This window comes from Homo sapiens, chromosome 7 (assembly GCF_000001405.40).
Source record: "Homo sapiens chromosome 7, GRCh38.p14 Primary Assembly".
Taxonomy (NCBI): Eukaryota; Metazoa; Chordata; class Mammalia; order Primates; family Hominidae; genus Homo; species Homo sapiens.
The window spans coordinates 109,782,262-109,802,534 of NC_000007.14; positions in this window are offsets into that span (position 1 = coordinate 109,782,262).

Here is a 20,273-nt window from a genome sequence, read left to right on the forward strand (position 1 = left end):
TGTTTCTCTAGGAAGAGTTCTATAGTGAATCACTTGCACAAGATAATCTTTAATCTTGGGTTAGGATCTATTTTCCGATAACTTGACTTCAAACATGGGGCAAGTGTGGAAGCCAACTCTTACCTGCAGATTTATTTGGTCACCAGGCTTTCTGACCTTAGTGTCAGCAGTTTTCAGTTGTGAAATAGCAGCTGCTGAGCACATGGAAATCTGGGGAAGCCATGGGAGGTTTGGTAGGTGTATTAGTTATCTTTTGCTTGTAACAAATTACCCCAAACTTAACAGTTTAAACAATGCACATTCATAATCTTACAGTGTCTGTGTGTCAGGAATCACAGCACAATTTAACTAAGTCTTCTTCTTTAGGGTCTCCCATGAAACTATAATCAAAGTATCAGACTGGACTGCAGTCACACTGGGGTTTAACAAGGTAAGATCCACTTCTGAGCTTACTCAGTGGTCGTTGGCAGGATTCAATCTTTTTGGTTGTTGGTATTATTTCCTTGCTAGCTGTTGGGCAGAGTTCACTCTCAGTTCTTTGCCACTCAAGTCTCTTCAATATTTTTCAGAAAAGTGTAAAAGACGAGAAGGCAAGAGAGTTCCAGTAAAAGAGAGAGAGAGAGAGAGAGCTAGGAAGGTGGGAGTCACAGTCTTTTGTAACCTAACCACGCAAGTGACATTTCATCACTTTTGCCATATTCTTTTGGTTAGAAGCAAGACACCAGGTGCAGCCCACACTCAAAGGCAGGAAATTACACAAGGGCACGAACACAAGGATGTGGGATGTAGAACTCTCCCTCTGGAGCCTGCATTCTTCTAGGCAACCTGACATAAGCATCTAGGGCTGTTTTTGGAGAATCCTGCTTGTCACTCTGGTTTCCTTTCATTAAAACTTTAATTTATACCTCAATGATCATATTCATAAGAAAATGCTATGGGGTTTCTTATTCCACATAAAAAAGCAAAGCCTATATTTACCCATAAATATCACTTAAATGTCAGCATAAGGGAGAAATACTTGGAATGCTTTCACCTTTGGAATACCTTATAAAAATAAAATGGTTAAAGTTCTGTATGACAAATCATGCAGTTCTGAAACACAAAAATTTCTGCTGCCACTTGGTTGGCATTTCCTTTGACACTTTCTGAAATGATGCTCAGATAATTTGCTTTTTTGCTCAATCTGGCTTGACAACTGGAAGGTATTTTATGCTGATCCTCAATGAAAAGCTCTGTGTCCACTTCAATGGCTCTAAAATGAATCAGCTCAACTCTTAGATATGAATGATTCATTGGATCTTATCATCCTTATGCTGGCTGCCTTGGCTCTCAATTCACTAATATAATGATTTCTAAATTCCGTGTCCAGATGTTCCCTTGGGATGAGCAGGGCAGAGAGAACACAGGTGTGTGAAAGGATGAAGTTTGTTTTATTTTGAATTTTTAATGAAAAAAGTAGTTATGGCTTATAGTCAGACTGTGATAAAGTGCTAATACAGTGTTATAGATGGTCTTATTCTCTCCACCAACACTACTATGTGCACCTGTACATATTCATTTTGCCCTGCATGATATAGATAATAAATAAAGTCTAGTCAGTGGGGCTGTCAAGGCAGCCATCATTTAGAATTTGGCCTTACACCTATCTAAAATTTCAGAAAAGATTGAGAAATCCCTGCCCCCACCAGTAAATGAGAAAACCAAGAGTCATTAAATAAAAAGTAGCAATCATATGACAGACTGAGTGGCCTTTTATGCTCACTGATTCCAGAGTGAGCTGGAACTATTGAAAGGGACCAGTGACCTTGTTTTAATATCAAGTGTGCATGAAGGTTATCTTTGGTTCCCAGAAATTTTATTTAATACAGAAATGATTTTTAGTTGAATCATCATTGTGGTTAAGCATTATGTATATATATGTGTGTATATATATGTGTGTGTATATGTACATATGTACATATTCATATGTGTACATATGTGCGTATGTGCATATGTGCATATGTGCATATGTACATATGTGCATATGTGCATATGTACATATGTGCATATGTGCATATGTACATATGTGCATATGTGCATATGTACATATGTGCATATGTGCATATGTACATATGTACATGTACACATATTTATATATGTGTATGTGTATATGTACATATGTGTATATGTATATATGTACATACGTATATATGTGTATATACATGTATACACACACACACACAACTAAGAAAAAAAAAGGCTTGCTTTGTGCCAGAATGTTTAAAAGGCACTAAAATCCCAGGGCACCAGGCAGACACCCACTCAGATAGCTGAATAAAATTTCAGAGCCATGTCATTCATATAAATACACAAAGATGTAATGCTGGAAATTCATTATTTTTCTTGTGGGATACTTTCTGTCTCAACAGTAATAAAATTTATACAATTGTTGAATCAAACAGATGTAGCTTACATTTTGTCTAAAGGCCACAAAATCTGGATTCTGGAAGAATTAGATAAGAGAGTAAGCTCTTGTCTCAAAACGGTAAGCCCTGCACTGTCTACCCAGCTCTTCATGCTGCTATGAAGGCATAAATAGAAGGTTAAAGTCAGATTTCTATCTACAGTTTAGACTTTCCCAAATGAAACAACGTATTTGCTGAACAAGAAGCACGTAATTCCTCTTACCCCTGTTAAGTAATTTTCTAGTCTACATACAGGCCACGGAGATTGGTTGTTGGGACACTAAGACACTAGGTGAGCAGAGCAAAGCCTGTCAGAAAAACTGGGCTATTTTCTATTTTCTAAAATCTAACAAAATCAGATTCAAAAAGGACATTAATCTTATATTTTTTAAATAGTATAAGTCTAATATTTAAAATAGAATTGAGTTAAAAAATTGTCACCTCACATTTCCTCCACATCCTTGGCAGGGTATGGTGGCTCACCCCTGTAATCCCAGCACCCTGGGAGTTCCTTTAAAGCAACACATAGATTTTCATTAATAAGTACACACATGTGTATACACACATGCTAAATCCTTTTGAAAAACAGAATATTGTAGATGTCATTTTTAAACTGTGTTGAAAATACATCGTGAACACCATGCACATTATGGTAGCTATTGATGGCTACCATCCACTCCCTATTTTCTTCCTAAAAAGGATGTCTGTGAAACAGCAAGGTGTCCAGTCCAAAGGAAGGATAAAGATCAGTAAAGCCACTCACAAGAATCCCATTCCCTGATTTCCCAGCCTCCTTGGCATGTAGGGTGAGCAATGATCCAGTTTGGACCAAAAAGATCTAAGAGAAGAGAGTTGGGGGGCGGGGGCGTTCCAGAGAACTGTTGAACTTTTGCTTTTCTTTGTTTCTTTTTTTTTTTTTTTGTCTTGGAGTGATCTCTGCTCACTGCAACCTCCACCTCAAGCCATTCTCGTACCCCAGCCTCCCGAGTAGCTGTGATTATAGGCATGTGCTGCCACACCTGGCTTTTTAATTTTTATTTTTGTAGTAGAGACAGGGTTTTGCCATGTTGGCCAGGCAGGTCTCGAACTCCTAGCCTCAAGTGATCTGTCCACCTCGGCCTCCCAGGTTGCTGGGATTACAGGAGTGAGCCATCACACCCTGCCAAATATTTGCTTTTCCAATTAAATAAGTCCAGATGGCTTCATTCTTTCTTTTCCCCATCCTTTTACTTTCTTCCAACTTGCATATAGATTTGAAGACTGGCACCTTAACAGCCATCTTTGGAGCATGAGGGAAAGGCAAAGAGGATTACAGACACATCATCCTTGAGCCTCTAGCCCAGCACTGCCTACCACCAGATTCCTCAATATGAAGGAAACATAAACATAAATTGCCTCAGCCATTGTGCTTGGGTTTTCTCTCGCTTAGAACCAAATAAGGCTTTCATTTTTCATCTATCTCAGTGTTTCCTTAAATGTTGGATATATGTCTTTGATGTTATGACTACAGAAGCTAATTTCATGTTGTTTAGAGCAAGTCACTAAATAATATTATGTCAATAACATAAACTTCATTTCGTTTCTCATTTTACTGCAGTCATTCGGATTATATAAAGACCTAAGTATGACTTAAATAGTCATTTTTTTTTAATTATCCTTTTCTAAAATGCCTAAACAGGCTATCAAGCTTATAATTAATAGTATTGTTTTGATCATATTTGTATTTATCATTACTTTTCCTTCATATTAAACAATGCTGGTTTCTGTTTTTGACAAGTTTATTAGCAGACGTAGGGAACTATGTTAAGAAAATATGGACTCAGGTGGCACATGCATATGGCAAAATTCTTGAGGGTAAAATAGCAAATTATTAAAGCAGGGAAACACCATTGCACCATGTCACTTTTAATGGTTGTAGACTGTACTCTCAGAAGATTATATTTGGGTGTAATATTTAGAATATTAACATCTTGCATGTTGTGGGCACAAACCGCCAACCAATAATCATAAAGCAAATGGCAGAAACAGATGCTAACATAAACCGTTGGAACTGTGGGTGACTATCAGCTACTTATCAGGCCTGATTGTAACAACAGTGCATTTAATCAGTCGCTTAGTAAAAACTACATTTAAGTTGTGACATGTTAGCAGCCAAATCTTTGCTAAATTTATTCATCAAATAAATGTTTCAATTATTTCCTCAAGATTAATGACTAAAAGTTAAGTTTCTGGAGACAATGACAAATATTTTTTAAGTATTTTCATATGTATTTACCTAAATATCTCCCAGAATGCTTATACCAATTCCATTCCTACAAATATTGTAAAAAACTGAATTTTTTTCTCAATCTTTCTATCATGTTTTTTGTTCATGAACAAACAGGTCTATTTGTTCGTAATCATTTTCTTTTATTCATGAAATATGTCACAACAATCACTCAATTCAATATATATTAATCTAACAAATTATTTCAAAATTTCAGTATATTTTAAATATTAAATGCCACACAATGTACTTTATTTTTAAATTGGTAGATATTTGTACTTATTTATTGTGTACATGTGATTTTTGACATGTATCTACAATGTGTAATGATCAAATCAGAGTATGCAGCTCATCCATCACCTCAAACATTTATCATTTCTTTGTGTTGGGAACATTTCAAACCTTCCGTTCTAGCTATTTACACAATGCACTTTCTAACAAACTAAATAACGTTGAGATATAAAATGATAATGCTAGTAATTTTCACTCACCCTACCTACTTCACAAACATACCTACCTTGAGTCTATCTTTTTAGCAGAGATATCTCATATTATTCCATTTTTAAACACACATATGCCAATATATAGCCATGTATAAGGACTTCAAATACTTCTGTCTTAGAAAAATGAGATTTTAATAACAGTTTGGCAATTTTTGTCTTTGGAGTATCATTTACATCCCATCACATCAATAGTGAGAGATACAATTCACTTTTGATGTTGGGTTATACTACACGGTGTTAATATTTTATAACCAATTCAAACATTACCTACTCTATTGGCATATATATATCTACTCCCAAATCTTTTGCTACCATTAAAAAAGTCCCTGTAGACATACATGTTTCTACTCATGTTTATTGAGTTTTTCTCTTGAAGAGAGATCTCCTCCACTTCACACACATAACAAAATAGGATTGTTAAGTCAGAGTATGTATAATTTTAACTCACAGTTGTTATAGAATATGTGAGACTACATTTCTCCACAAAATGTTCCAGTATACATATTTCCCCATTTAATACTGGATATTACTAGTCTTTTAAATTTTGTTAATCTGATGTTTTTTAAAAATGATGTTTTCTTGTGATTTACTTACCATGAGTTTCAGAATATTTTTTATTTCCTTCTTTATTTTAATAATTTTCAGTTATCTTTTATGGGTTGTCTTTCTTGCTTATTGTATCATTTTTACTTTAACTTTTGCTGTTTTTGAATTTATAGTGCGGTGTGTGGGTGGGTGGATGGGTGTGTATACACACAATTGTCCATATAGAAATGATGGTCCATATATATATGGAATATTAAATTTTGATTACAATAAATGGTTCAAATGCTTTCCTAGTCTATTGTTTGTCTTTTAGCTTTTCTCAGTGTAAATCAATCTTATCTATCTATCATTTATCTATATCTTTGTCTTTTTATCTATCAAGTTTTATTTTCTCATGTAATAAAATATGGCTAATTTACGTATAGACAATAGAGATTTTATTTTTGTCTTAAGTGTGTTAGGCTTTTAACTTTATTTTTGTTAAGTTGGTTAGGCAATCATTTATTAAGCAAACATTTTCCAGGAGACTGAAATAACACTTTTATCAGTGGTGTGCTCCAATTGTTAAATTTTTAAGAGTTTTGAAAGCTGGTTGGTATGACATTGGTAGCTTATAATTGGCTATAGTCTAAGCATTTATATCACAGAAACTGGTAAACTCTATATCAGTCTCCCCTCTACCCTGCTGCAGCCCCAGAGAGCTGAATGTTAAACAGACTCACCACTTTTTAGTCGTATGTGTTTTCCTTATATCCTTGGACCTAATGCTGAACTCTATATTTCAATCCTCTCATCTGTTTGTTTAATGATATACAAATATTTTATATTTACAGTAGATCTGTTTCAGAAACTGGTGTAGCAAAAATACTTTTTAAATATTTTTTGCAAAAATCTTTTGGCATTTCTAACATTTACTATATATTTTTAAATACTTTTGACAAGTTGTCATTCTCAAATGACTAAAAAAAGAGCAAAAATTGTCATTTTGACTGAAAATGGATTAAATCATGCATTTGTTTGAGAACAGTAGATGTTTTTATAATATTCATTTGGTAAAATTATTTTTCTCTGTTGAGCATTTTAAAGAAATATATTTATGTTCTCTTAGGCTCACTGTAATAAGTCTACTTGTCTTAGTGTTATTAATTTAAATTGTGAAACTGAAATTAAAACATAATTCATTTACTTTTTTCAAATTACAAAGTTGATGTGCTCCTAATGGAACTGAGCATCCTTTCTTATGTGACACTTTTCTCATGTAATTAATTAGTTAAGAGGAAGTTGCTAAGTAGATATCTATCTACTTATCTAAATTCTTTTTTTAGAAGTTTTATGATTTTGGAACCCACATTTACATTTTTAATACATTTCAAAGTAATTTTTGTATATTATGTAAAACGATGGTCCAATTTTATTGTTTTGCATGTGTATATACAGTTTTCCCAACACTATTTATTGAAGGAACTGTCCTTTTCCCATTTTGTATTCTTGGCACATATGTCAAAGATTAGGAGACCATACATGATTGGGTTTTTTTCCTGGGCTCTCTATACTGTTCTGTTGGTCTATGTGTCTATTTTTATCCCAATACCATACTGTTTTGATTACTATAGCTTTGTAATATAGTTAAAATTAGGGAATGTGATGGCCCCAACATTGCTTTGTCTTAAGATTTATTTGGCTATTCATGGTCTTTAAAGATTCTATATGAATTTTTGAATATTTTTTCTATTTCTGTAAAAAATGTCATAGGAAATTTATAGGGATTGCATTAAATCTGTAGATCACCTCAGGTAGTATGGACATTATGATAATACATCTATACTTTGCTTATTTCCTAGCCTTCTTTTCTGGCTCTGATATGATCTTAATACTGGTCCCTTGGGGAAAATGGGAAGATGTTGCTCAAAGGGCACAAACTTTCAGTTATAACATGAGCAATTATGGGATTTAATGCAAACCACAGGCAGTGATAATTTGGTTAATTAATTTGATATGATAAAAATTACAGTATATGCATATCAAGTAACCACATTTTTAATCCTGGAACATATATAATCCTTGTCAATATTACAAAATTTAAAAATAATAAATAAAATTTGAAAATAAATTATGTCATTAACATGTATAATAGTCAGGGTTCTCTAGAGGGACAGAACTTATAGGATACATATATATATGTATACATATACGTGTATATACATATATATACATGTATGTACATATATATATACACATGTATATATATATCAGGGGGGTTTATTAAGAATTAACTAACATGATCACAATGTCTCACATAGGCTGTCTGCAAGCTGAGGAGTAAGGAAAGCCATTCCATGGCCCAAAAATGAAGAACATGAAGTCCAATGTGTGAGGGCAGGAAGCATCCAGCACAAGAGAAAGATGATGTAGGCTGGTAGGCTAGGCCAGTCTGTCATTTCACATTTTTCTACCTGCTTTTTATATTCTACCCATGCTGGCAGCTGATCAAATGGTGCCCACCCAGAATAAGGGTGCATCTGCCTTCCCCCACCCACTGACTCAAATGTTAATCTCTTTGGCAACACCGGCACAGACACACCCAGCATCAATACTTTGTATCCTTCAATCTAATCAAGTTGACACTCGGTATTAACCATCACAAGCCTACCCCTTGTCAACTTGAACCCGTACACATCTTCTGAGATCGTACATAATCTTCAAATAAAGACAATAATAAGGTCATAACTATGCCTAACATAATACAACTATCTTTCATACGGGAAACACAACAGTCCCCAACCCAAATACTATTACATAAAGTTAACAATGCTTAAATGCTGATGTGAAGTCAATAAAACTTATGTCACATGATAAGAAAAAGGAAATAAAATGAAGATAGTTTCTTAGTACAAGTGTATAAATGTACAAACAAGTTTTTAACGAAAGAAGGAGGAAATAAATACTCATGACAATACTCATGACAAATATAGTCCTTGTTTCTGCAGCTAGTCATGTGGTCATAGCTGATATTTATGACTACCTTCTACTACCAATTCTGTATTCCCTTTGCCTTTAGCAAGCACCACAGCAGGTCGTTTGTTTGTTTGTTTGTTTATTTATTTATTTATTTCTGGTGGAGTGACCCAAACCTTTGTTGTCGAAGAGTCTGGGCCATTTGTAGTCCTTCCTGTATAGATTGGGTTGTTGTTGTTTCCCACTGACTTTAATCACAGGGCACGGTAATATTAAGAGAAGCCCTAATGGATCTCCTGTACTCCATGCATACTCTTTCTTTCCTGCATTGTGGAGTAGTAGACAGATTTCATCTTGATAGTCTGGGTCAATCAACCCAGCCAACACTGTAACTTAAAGATACGTAACTTAAACACTGTAACTTCTTAGCCTGTTGACTTAAAGGTAGGAGGAACCCAAAGTGTCCAGGTGGCAATCTTAACTTCCAGTTAATGGAATCATTGTTGTGTCTCCTGGTGGCAGCATTACTCCCTCTGGAACTAGGACATCTAGGACAGCAGAACATAATGTTGTGGGAACAGGAAGCACAAATTTTGCTAGTGGATCAGTAGGGGTGATGGTGAGTGGTGCCACTTACACTTCCACTCCTTGATTCCTGGACCCATGAATCCTGGCTATGGAAAAAACTACCATATATTGGAAGCTGAATCAGACCATACACGGTCTTCTGGAGAACTTTGCCCTAACCCTGCAAAGTATTGTCACCTAGTTTGTATTATAATTGGGACTTCAAAAGGCCGTTTCACCATTCCATCAAACAAGCTGCTTCAGGATGATGGGGAACATGGTAAGACCAGTGAATTCCATGACCATAAGCCCACTGTAAAGTGAGGGCCTCAGTCTGAGGCAATGCTGTGTGGAATACAATGATGATGGATAAGGCATTCCATGTGTCCACAGATGGTAGTCTTTGCAGAAGCACTGCGTGCAGGAAAGGCACACCCATATCTGGAGTAAATGTCTATTCCAGTGAAGACAAACCTCTGTCCTTTTTTTGATAGAAGCGGTTCAATATAATCAACCTGCCACCAGGTAGCTGGCTGACCACCCCGAGGAATGGTGCCATATCGAGGGCTCAGTGTTGGTCTCTGCTACTGGCAAATTGGGCACTCAGCAGTAGCCATAGCCAGGTCAGCCTTGGTGAGTGGAAGCCCATGTTGCTGAGCCCATGCATACCCTCCATTCCTGCCACCATGGCCACTTTGTTCATGGGCCCACTGGGCGATGACAGGGGTGGCTGGGAAAAGAGGCTGAGTGGTGTCCACAGAACAAGTGGGTCATCCTATCCACTTGATTATTAAAATTCTCCTCTGCTGAGGTCACCCATTGGTGAGCACTCACATGGGATACAAATATCTTCACAGTTTTTGACCACTCAGAGAGGTCCATTCACATATCCCTTCCCCAAATTTCTTCATCGCCTGTTTTCCAATCATGCTTCTTTCAAGTCCCTGACCATCCAGTCAAACCATTGGCTACAGCCCATGAATCAGTATATAATCACACATCTGACCATTTCTACTTCCATGCAAAGTGCACAATCAGATGCACTGCTCAAAGTTCTGCCCTCTAGAAGATTTCCCTTCACCACTGTCCTTCAGGGATGTCCTAGAAAGGGGCGGTAATGCTGCAGCTGTCGAATTTCAGGTGGTGCCTGCATATCATGCAGAACCATCTGTGAACTAGGCCCTAGTCTTCTCTTTCACTGTCAACTGATCATAAGGAATTCCCCCATGAGGCCATCAGTGCAGGCTGGGGGAGAGAAGGCAGGGTGCAGGAGTGGAGACCATAGGCATTTGAGCCACTTCCTCATGTAACTTACTTGTGCCTTCAGGACCTTCTCAAGCCCAATCCCATATATACCACTTCCATTTGATGATGGAATGTGACTGGGCATGACCCACTTTATGGCTAGATGGGTCAGAAAGCACCCAGTTCATGATAGTCAGTTCAGGTTGCATGGTGACCTGATGACTCATAGTCAAACATTCGGTTTCCACCAAAAGCCCAGTAACAGGCCAAGAGTTGTCACTCAAAAGACGAGTAGTTATCTGCAGAAGACGGCAAGGTATTGCTCCAAAATCCTAGAGGCCTCCACTGTGATTCACCTATGGGGGCCTGCCGGAGGCTCTAAACAGTATCCCTATCTGCCACTGACACCTCAAGCATCATTGGATCTGCTGGGTCATATGGCTCAAGTGGAAGAGCAGCTTGCACAGCAGCCTGGACCTGTTGCAGAGCCTTCTCCTGTTCTGGACCCCACTCAAAACTGGCAACCTTTTGTATCACTCAATAAATGGGCAACAGTAACACACCTAAATGAGGAATGTCCTGCCTCCAAAATCCAAATAGGCCCACTAGGCATTGTGCCTCTTTCTTGGGTGTAGGAGGGGTGAAATGCAGCAACTTATTCTTCACCTTAGAAGGAATATTTCGACAGGCCCCACACCATTGGACCCCTAGAAACTTTACTGAGGTAGAAGATCCCTGAATTTTAGTCAGATTCATTTCCCATCCTCTGGCATGCAAATGTCTCACCAATAAGTCCAGGGTGTTTGCTACTTCTTGCTCACTGGATCCAATCAGCATAATGTCATCAAAGTAATGGACCAGTGTGATACCTTGTGGAAGTGAAAAGAGATCAAGATCTCTCCGAATAAAGTTATGACACAAAGCCAAAGAGTTGATATATCCCTCAGATAGGATAGTAAAGGTATATTGCTGGCCTTGACAGCTGAAGGCAAATTGCTTCTGGTGGACCTCATGGGCAGGAATAGAGAAAAAGTCATTTGCCAAGTCAATGGCTGCATGTCAGGTACCAGGAGATGTGTTAATTTGCTCAAGCAATGAAACAACATCTGCTACAGCAGCTGTAATTAGAGTCACCACTTGATTAAGCTTATGGTAATCCACTGTAATTCTCAAAGATCCATCTGTCTTCTTTGTGGGCCAAGTGGGAGAGTTGAACAGGGATATGGTGGGAATAACCAACCCTGTGTTTTTCAAGTCCTTGATGGTGGCACTAATCTCTGCAATCCCTCTAAGGATGTGATATTATTTTTGATTTACTATTTTTCTAGGGAGAGGCTGTTCTAATGGCTTCCATTTGGCCTTTCCCACCACAATACCCTTCACCCTACCAGGCGGGGGGTGGCTCTGCCAGCTGCTAAGTATGTCTATGCCAATTATGCATTCTGGCACTGGGGAAAGGACCACAGGATGAGTTCAGGGAATCACTGTAAGTCAGACCTGAGCTAAAACTCCATTAATCACCTGACCTCCATAAGCTCTTTCTTTAACTGGAGGATCACAATGACATTTGGGGTCTCTGGGAATCAACTTCAGCTCAGAACCAGTATCCATAGTCTCCAAAATGTCTGACCATTTCCCTTTCCCCATTGCACAGTCACCCTGTTAAAGGCCAGAGGTCTCCTTAGGTAATGATGGGAGAAAGACTGACAGCATAAGTTTTCAGTAATGTTGTGAGATCCTTCCTCAAGACGACCCAGCCTCCCTTTCATTGAAGGGGTTCTGGGTCTGTAAACTGGCACAAGCCTAGAAATTGATTGAGGAATCGTGATTCTCTGTTTTTACAATTTTAATTAGTCTTCTGTCTATTCAACCTAGAATTTTTCTGCCTATATAAATTAAGAAGGAATGCAGTAGGCTTCATATCAATTTCACTTCTAGAAACACTATTAATAGTTAGTCAATACCAGAGCAGTACAGGAGTTGGAATATTCTGACTCACCCTTTGCCTCTGCTGTCCATTACAGTAGCTACTCCCACCTGGCCTATGATGGTTGAGTGCTGCCACTTGGTCCCTGCCACTTCACAATCCAATTATTCCCATTGTATTTACATTTTGTAGTTGAGTGACTGTGGTTCCCAGTTAGATCTGACATACAGAGAAGAGCTATTACAGAGCTCTTCAAAGACACAGATGTGGGAGGTGGAGCCAAGATGGCCGAATAGGAACAGCTCCAGGCTACAGCTCCCAGTGTGAGTGACGCAGAAGACGGGTGATTTCTGCATTTCCAACTGAGGTACCGGGTTCATCTCACTGGGGAGTGCTGGACAGTGGGTGCAGCACAGGGGGTGCAGCGCACCGTGAGTGAGCCGAAGCAGGGCGAGGCATCGCCTCACCCCGGAAGGGCAAGGGGTCAGGGAATTCCCTTTCCTAGTCAAAAAAAAGGGTGACAGACGGCACCTGGAAAATCAGGTCACTCCCACCCTAATACTGCGCTTTTTCAACAGGCTTCACAAACAGCACACCACAAGATTATATCCCACACCTGGCTCAGAGGGTCCTATGCCCACAGAGCCTTGCTCTTGCTAGCACAGCAGTCTGAGATCAAACTGCAAGGTGGCAGCGAGGCTGGGGGAGAGGCGCCCGCCATTGCTCAGGCTTGAGTAGGTAAACAAAGCAGCTGGGAAGCTCAGACTGGGTGGAGCCCACCACAGCTCAAGGAGGCCTGCCTGCCTCTGTAGGCTCCATCTCTGGGGGCAGGGCACAGAAAAACAAAAGGCAGCAGTAACCTCTGCAGACTTAAATGTCCCTGTCTGACAGCTTTGAAGAGAGTAGTGGTTCTCCCAGCATGCAGCTTGAGATCTGAGAACGGGCAGACTGCCTCCTCAAGTGGGTCCCTGACCCCCAAGTAGCCTAACTGGGAGGTAACCCCAGTAGGGGTGGACTGACACCTCACACGGCCAGGTACTGCTCTCAGACAAAACTTCCAGAGTAATGATCAGGCAGCAGCATTTGCGGTTCACCAATATCCGCTATTCTGCAGCCACCACTGCTGACACCCAGGCAAACAGGGTCTGGAGTGGACCTCCAGTAAACTCCAACAGACCTGCAGCTGAGGGTCCTGACTGTTAGAAGGAAAACTAACAAACAGAGGGGATATCCACACCATAAACCCATCTGTACATCACAATCATCAAACACCAAAGGTAGATAAAACCACAAAGATGGGGAAAAAAACAGAGCAGAAAAACCAGAAATTCTAAAAATCAGAGTGCCTCTCCTTCTCCAAAGGAATGCAGCTCCTCACCAGCAATGGAACAAAGCTGGATGGAGAATGACTTTGATGAGTTGAGAGAGGAAGGCTTCAGAAGATCAAACTACCCTGAGCTAAAGGAGGAAGCTTGAACCAAGGGCAAAGAAGTTAAAAACTTTGAAAAAAAATTAGACGAATGGATAACTAGAATAATAAATGGAGAGATGTCCTTAAGGGACCTGATGGAGCTAAAAACCAAGGTACGAGAACTACGTGACGAATGCACAAGCTTCAGTAAATGATGCGATCAACTGGAAGAAAGGGTATCAGCGATGGAAGATGAAATGAATGAAATGAAGTGTGAGGAGAAGTTCAGAGAAAAAAGAATAAAAAGAAATGAACAAAGCCTCCAAGAAATATGGAATTATGTGAAAAGACCAAATCTACGTCTAATTGGCGTACCTGAAAGTGACGGCGAGAATGGAACCAAGTTGGAAAACACTCGGCAGAATATTATCCAGGAGAACTTCCCCAACCTAGCAAGGCAGGCCAACATTCAAATTCAGGAAATACAGAGAACGCCACAAAGATAATCCTCAAGAAGAGCAACTCGAAGACACATAATTGTCAGATTCACCAAAGTTGAAATGAAGGAAAAGAAGTTAAGGGCAGCCAGAGAGAAAGGTCGGGTTACCCACAAAGGGAAGCCCATCAGACTAACAGCTGATCTCTTGGCAGAAACTCTACAAGCCAGAAGAGACCAGGGGCCATTATTCGACATTCTTAAAGAAAAGAATTTTCAACCCAGAATTTCATATCCAGCCAAACTAAGCTTCATAAATGAAGGATAAATAAAATACTTTACAGAAAAGCAAATGCTGAGAGATTTTGTCACCACCAGGCCTGCCCTAAAAGAGCTCCTGAAGGAAGCACTAAACATGGAAAGGAATAACCAGTAACAGCCACTGCAAAAACATGCCAAATTGTAAAGACGATGAAGGCTAGGAATAAACTGCATCAACTAACGAGCAAAATAACCAGCTAACATCATAATGACAGGATCAAACTTACACATAACAATACTAACCTTAAATGTAAACGGGCTAAATGCTCCAATTAAAAGGCACAGACTGGCAAATTGGATAAAGAGTCAAGACCCATCAGTGTGCTGTATTCAGGAAACCCATCTCACATGCAGAGACACACACAGGCTCAAAATAAAGGGATGGAGGAAGATCTACCAAGCAAATGGAAAACAAAAAAAGACAGGGGTTGCAATCCTGGTCTCTGATAAAACAGACTTTAAACCAACAAATATGAAAAGAGACAAAGAAGGCCATTACATAATGGTAAAGGGATCAATTCAACAAGAAGAACTAACTATCCTAAATATGTATGCACCCAATACAGGAGCACCCAGATTCCTAAAGCAAGTCCTTAGTGACCTACAAAGAGACTTAGACTCCCTCACAATAATAATGGGAGACTTTAACACCCCACTGTCAACATTAGACAGATCAACGAGACAGAAAGTTAACAAGGATATCCAGGAATTGAACTCAGCTCTGCACCTAGCAGACCTCATAGACATCTACAGAACTCTCCACCCCAAATCAACAGAATATACATTCTTCTCAGCACCACACCACACCTATTCCAAATTTGAACACATTGTTGGAAGTAAAGCACTCCTCAGCAAATGTAAAAGAACAGAAATTATAACAAACTGTCTCTCAGACCATAGTGCAATCAAACTAGAACTCAGGATTAAGAAACTCACTCAAATCCGCTCCACTACATGGAAACTGAACAACCTGCTCCTGAATGACTACTGGGTACATAACAAAATGAAGGCAGAAATAAAGATGTTATTTGAAACCAACGAGAACAAAGACACAACATACCAGAATCTCTGGGACACATTCAAGGCAGTGTGTAGAGGGAAATTTATAGCACTACATGCCCACAAGAGAAAGCAGGAAAGACCCAAAATGGACACCCTAACATCACAATCAAAAGAACTAGAGAAGCAAGAGCAAACACATTCAAAAGCTAGCAGAAGGCAAGAAATAACTAAAATCAGAGCAGAACTGAAGGAAATGGAGACACAAAAAACCCTTCAAAAAATCAATGAATCCACGAGCTGGTTTTTTGAAGAGATCAACGAAATTGATAGACCACTAGCAAGACTAATAAAGAAGAAAAGAGAGAAGATTCAAATAGACGCAATAAAAAATAACAAAGCGGATATCACCACTGATCCCACAGAAATACAAACTACCATCAGAGACTACTATAGACACCTCTACACAAATAAACTAGAAAATCTAGAAGAAATGAATAAATTCCTTGACTCATGCCCTCTGCCAAGAATAAACCAGGAAGAAGTTGAATCTCTGAATAGACCAATAACAGGCTCTGAAATTGAGGCAACAATTAATAGCTTACCAACCAAAAAAAGTCCAGGACCAGATGGATTCACAGCCAAATTCTACCAGAGGTACAAAGAGGAGCTGGTACCATTCCTTCTGAAACTATTCCAATCAATAGAAAAAGAGGGAATCCTCCCTAACTCATTTTATGAGGCCAGCATCATCCTGATACCAAAGCCTGGCAGAGACACAACAAAAAAAGAGAATTTTAGATCAATATCCTTGATGAACATTGATGGAAAAATCCTCAAAAAAATACTGGCAAACCGAATCCAGCAACACATCAAAAAGCTTACCCACCATGATCGAGTGGGCTTCATCCCTGGGATGCAAGGCTGGTTCAACATACGAAAATCAGTAAACGTAATACAGCATATAAACAGAACCAAAGACAAAAACCACATGATTATCTCAATAGATGCAGAAAAGGCCTTTGACAAAATTCAACAACACTTCATGCTAAAAAACTCTCAATAAATTAGGTATTGATGGGATGTATCTCAAAATAATAAGAGCTATCTATGACAAACCCACAGCCAATATCATACTGAATGGTCAAAAACTGGAAACATTCCCTTTGAAAACTGGCACAAGACAGGGATGCCCTCTCTCACCACTCCTATTCAACATAGTGTTGGAAGTTCTGGCCAGGGCAATCAGGCAGGAGAAGGAAATAAAGGGCATTCAATTAGGAAAAAGGAAGTCAAATTGTTCCTGTTTGCAGATGACATGATTGTACATCTAGAAAACCCCCTCATCTCAGCCCAAAATCTCCTTAAGCTGATAAGCAACTTCAGCAAAGTCTCAGGATAGAAAATCAATGTACAAAACTCACAAGCATTCTTATACACCAATGACAGACAATCAGAGAGCCAAATCATGAGTGAACTCCCATTCACAATTGCTTCAAAGAGAATAAAATACCTAGGAATCCAACTTACAAGGGATGTGAAGGACCTCTTCAAGGAGAACTACAAACCACTGCTCAATGAAATAAAAGAGGATACAAACAAATGGAAGAACATTCCATGCTCATGGGTAGGAAGAATCAATATGGTGAAAAATGGCCATACTGCCCAAGGTAATTTACAGATTCAATGCCATCCCCATCAAGCTACCAATGACTTTCTTCACAGAATTGGAAAAAACTACTTTAAATTTCATACAAAACCAAAAAAGAGCCCATATTGCCAAGGCAATCCTAAGCCAAAAGAACAAAGCTGGAGGCATCACGCTACCTGACTTCAAAGTATACTACAAGGATACAGTAACCAAAACAGCATGGTACTGGTACCAAAACAGAGATATAGACCAATGGAACAGAACAGAGCCCTCAGAAATATTGTCGCATATCTACAACTATCTGATCTTTGACAAACCTGACAAAAACAAGCAGTGGGGAAAGGATTCCCTATTTAATAAATGGTGCTGGGAAAACTGGCTAGCCATATGTAGAAAGCTGAAACTGGATCCCTTCCTTACACCTTATACAAAAATTAATTCAAGATGGATTAAAGACTTACATGTTAGACCTAATACCATAAAAACCCTAGAAGAAAACCTAGGCAATACCATTCAGGAAATAGGCATGGGCAAGGACTTCATGTCTAAAACACCCAAAGCAATGGCAACAAAGCCAAAATTGACAAATGGGGATCTAATTAAACTAAAGAGCTTCTGCACAGCAAAAGAAACCACCATCAGAGTGAACAGGCAACCTACAGAATGGGAGAAAAATTTTACAACCTACTCATCTGACAAAGGGCTAATATCCAGAATCTACAATGAACTCAAACAAATTTACAAGAAAAAAACAAACAACCCCATGAAAAAGTGGGCGAAGGATATGAACACACACTTCTCAAAAGAAGACATTTATGCAGCCAAAAAATACATGAAAAAATGCTCATCATCACTGGCCATCAGAGAAATGCAAATCAAAACCACAATGAGATAGCATCTCACACCAGTTAGAATGGCGATCTTTAAAAAGTCAGGAAACAACAGGTGCTGGAGAGGATGTGGAGAAATAGGAGCACTTTTACACTGTTGGTGGGACTGTAAACTAGTTCAACCATTGTGGAAGTCAGTGTGGCGATTCCTCAGGGATCTAGAACTAGAAATACCATTTGACCCAGCCATCATATTACTGGGTATATACCCAAAGGAATTTAAATCATGCTGCTATAAAGACACATGCACACGTATGTTTACTGCGGCACTATTCACAATAGCAAAGACTTGGAACCAACCCAAATGTCCAACAATGATAGAGTGGATTAAGAAAATGTGGCACATATACACCATGGAACACTATGCAGCCATAAAAAATGATGATTTCATGTCCCTTGTAGGGACACGGATGAAGCTGGAAACCATCATTGTCAGCAAACTATTGCAAAGACAAAAAAACCAAACACCGCATGTTCTCACTCATAGGTGGGAATTGAACAATGAGAACACATGGACACAGGAAGGGGAACATCACACACTGGGGACTGTTGTGGGTTGGGGAGAGGGGGGAGGAATAGCATTAGGAGATATACCTAATGCTAAATGATGAGTTAATGGGGGCAGCACATCAACATGGCACATGTATACATATGTAACAAACCTGCACATTGTGCACATGTACCGTAATACTTAAAGTATAAAAAAATAAAATAAAAAAAGGCACAGGTGCTGCTCTCACAAATCTTTCACAAGGCATTGGTCAAGGATCCATCTTCTGGACCCTCCCAGCTGGGATGAGTAGGTCCAAAGTGACTAGTCCACTCCGCCATCCCAGTCTCTCCAAGTCTTTGGATCCCTTCCTCTACATTAATCCAAGAGAGATCAAGCATTTCCTGCTCACTTACAATGGGCCATCTTTTAATCCATATTTCAGCTAACCAAGCACATAAACTATTAAGAACCTGTTTTAAGTCCCTGAGCTGCAACATTAAATGCAGATTCCCTACTTAGTTGACCCATGTCAATAAATTCAGCCTGATCCAACACTATGTTCCTTCCACTATTATCCCACACCCATAATATCTATTTCCAGCCTGTTCTCTAGGTTTCTGTTTATACAAATTAGAAAACTCAAGCAATTATTTTTGAGTGTAGCGCACCTCCTCATGGGTCACACTCTCAACCTCATCTCTAGGGGCCCACCAGGACTTTAGTCTAGTTATAGGTCTAGAAGTTAAGGAGGGTGTTGGGGGTGGCTCCTGAGGATAATCAACATTTTCTTGCCGGGCAACTGCCTGAGAGGAAGCCATCACTGTTGCCTTAGGCAACACAGTTTATCTCCTCAGACAAAGGTGGAAAGGCTAATGGCAGCAGGGGTTGGGGAGGGGATGTTGGCACTACTTGGAAATGGGAAGCTGTTTCCTCTAGCAAAAAAGATTCATTGGAGTTTACAAACTCAGTGTCCCCAGCTACATCAGCGTTCTCCCACATACCCCCATTCCAAGTTGCAAGATCCCATTCTTTTCCATTCAGTGCCCTCACTTTAACAGTAGACACCTGATGAGGCTGTGCATGCACTTTTGGTTGCAGATCAGCCACTTGCATGATAAGAGCTTGTGTCTGTTTTTCCACAATTTCAGCTCTTTCTCTACAGGAGATAAGACTCTCACTCAAGGCAATCTTAGAAGACTTGAGGCTCAGTATCTGCTTCTGAAGCCGGGAGTTAGAATTCCTGAGTTCATAATTTTCTTTCATCACTTCGTACAGTGAACTTAGGAGAAACCAACAAGCTTCATTATGTTCCTTGGTTCTCCACATATGGCCAAAGGTATTATGTATAGAGTCACTAAGCTCCTGCCTCTCAGGATTGGTGAATCAGTAGTGTCAAATGCATTTATTTTGTCTAACTCTCTAAACAGTTCATGCCAACGACTAATAGTGTTCTCCATACTATTAGAAGTAGAGTCCTTAGCATTTTGGGTATTAAGCACCGAACTCCAGAAACCCCAAAACCAATGAAAGAACTCCATCCTTAATATTCTGTTCCTCTAGAACCACTCCTTGTACCAAAATCTGTATTAGTCAGGGTTCTCTTGAGGGACAGCACTAAT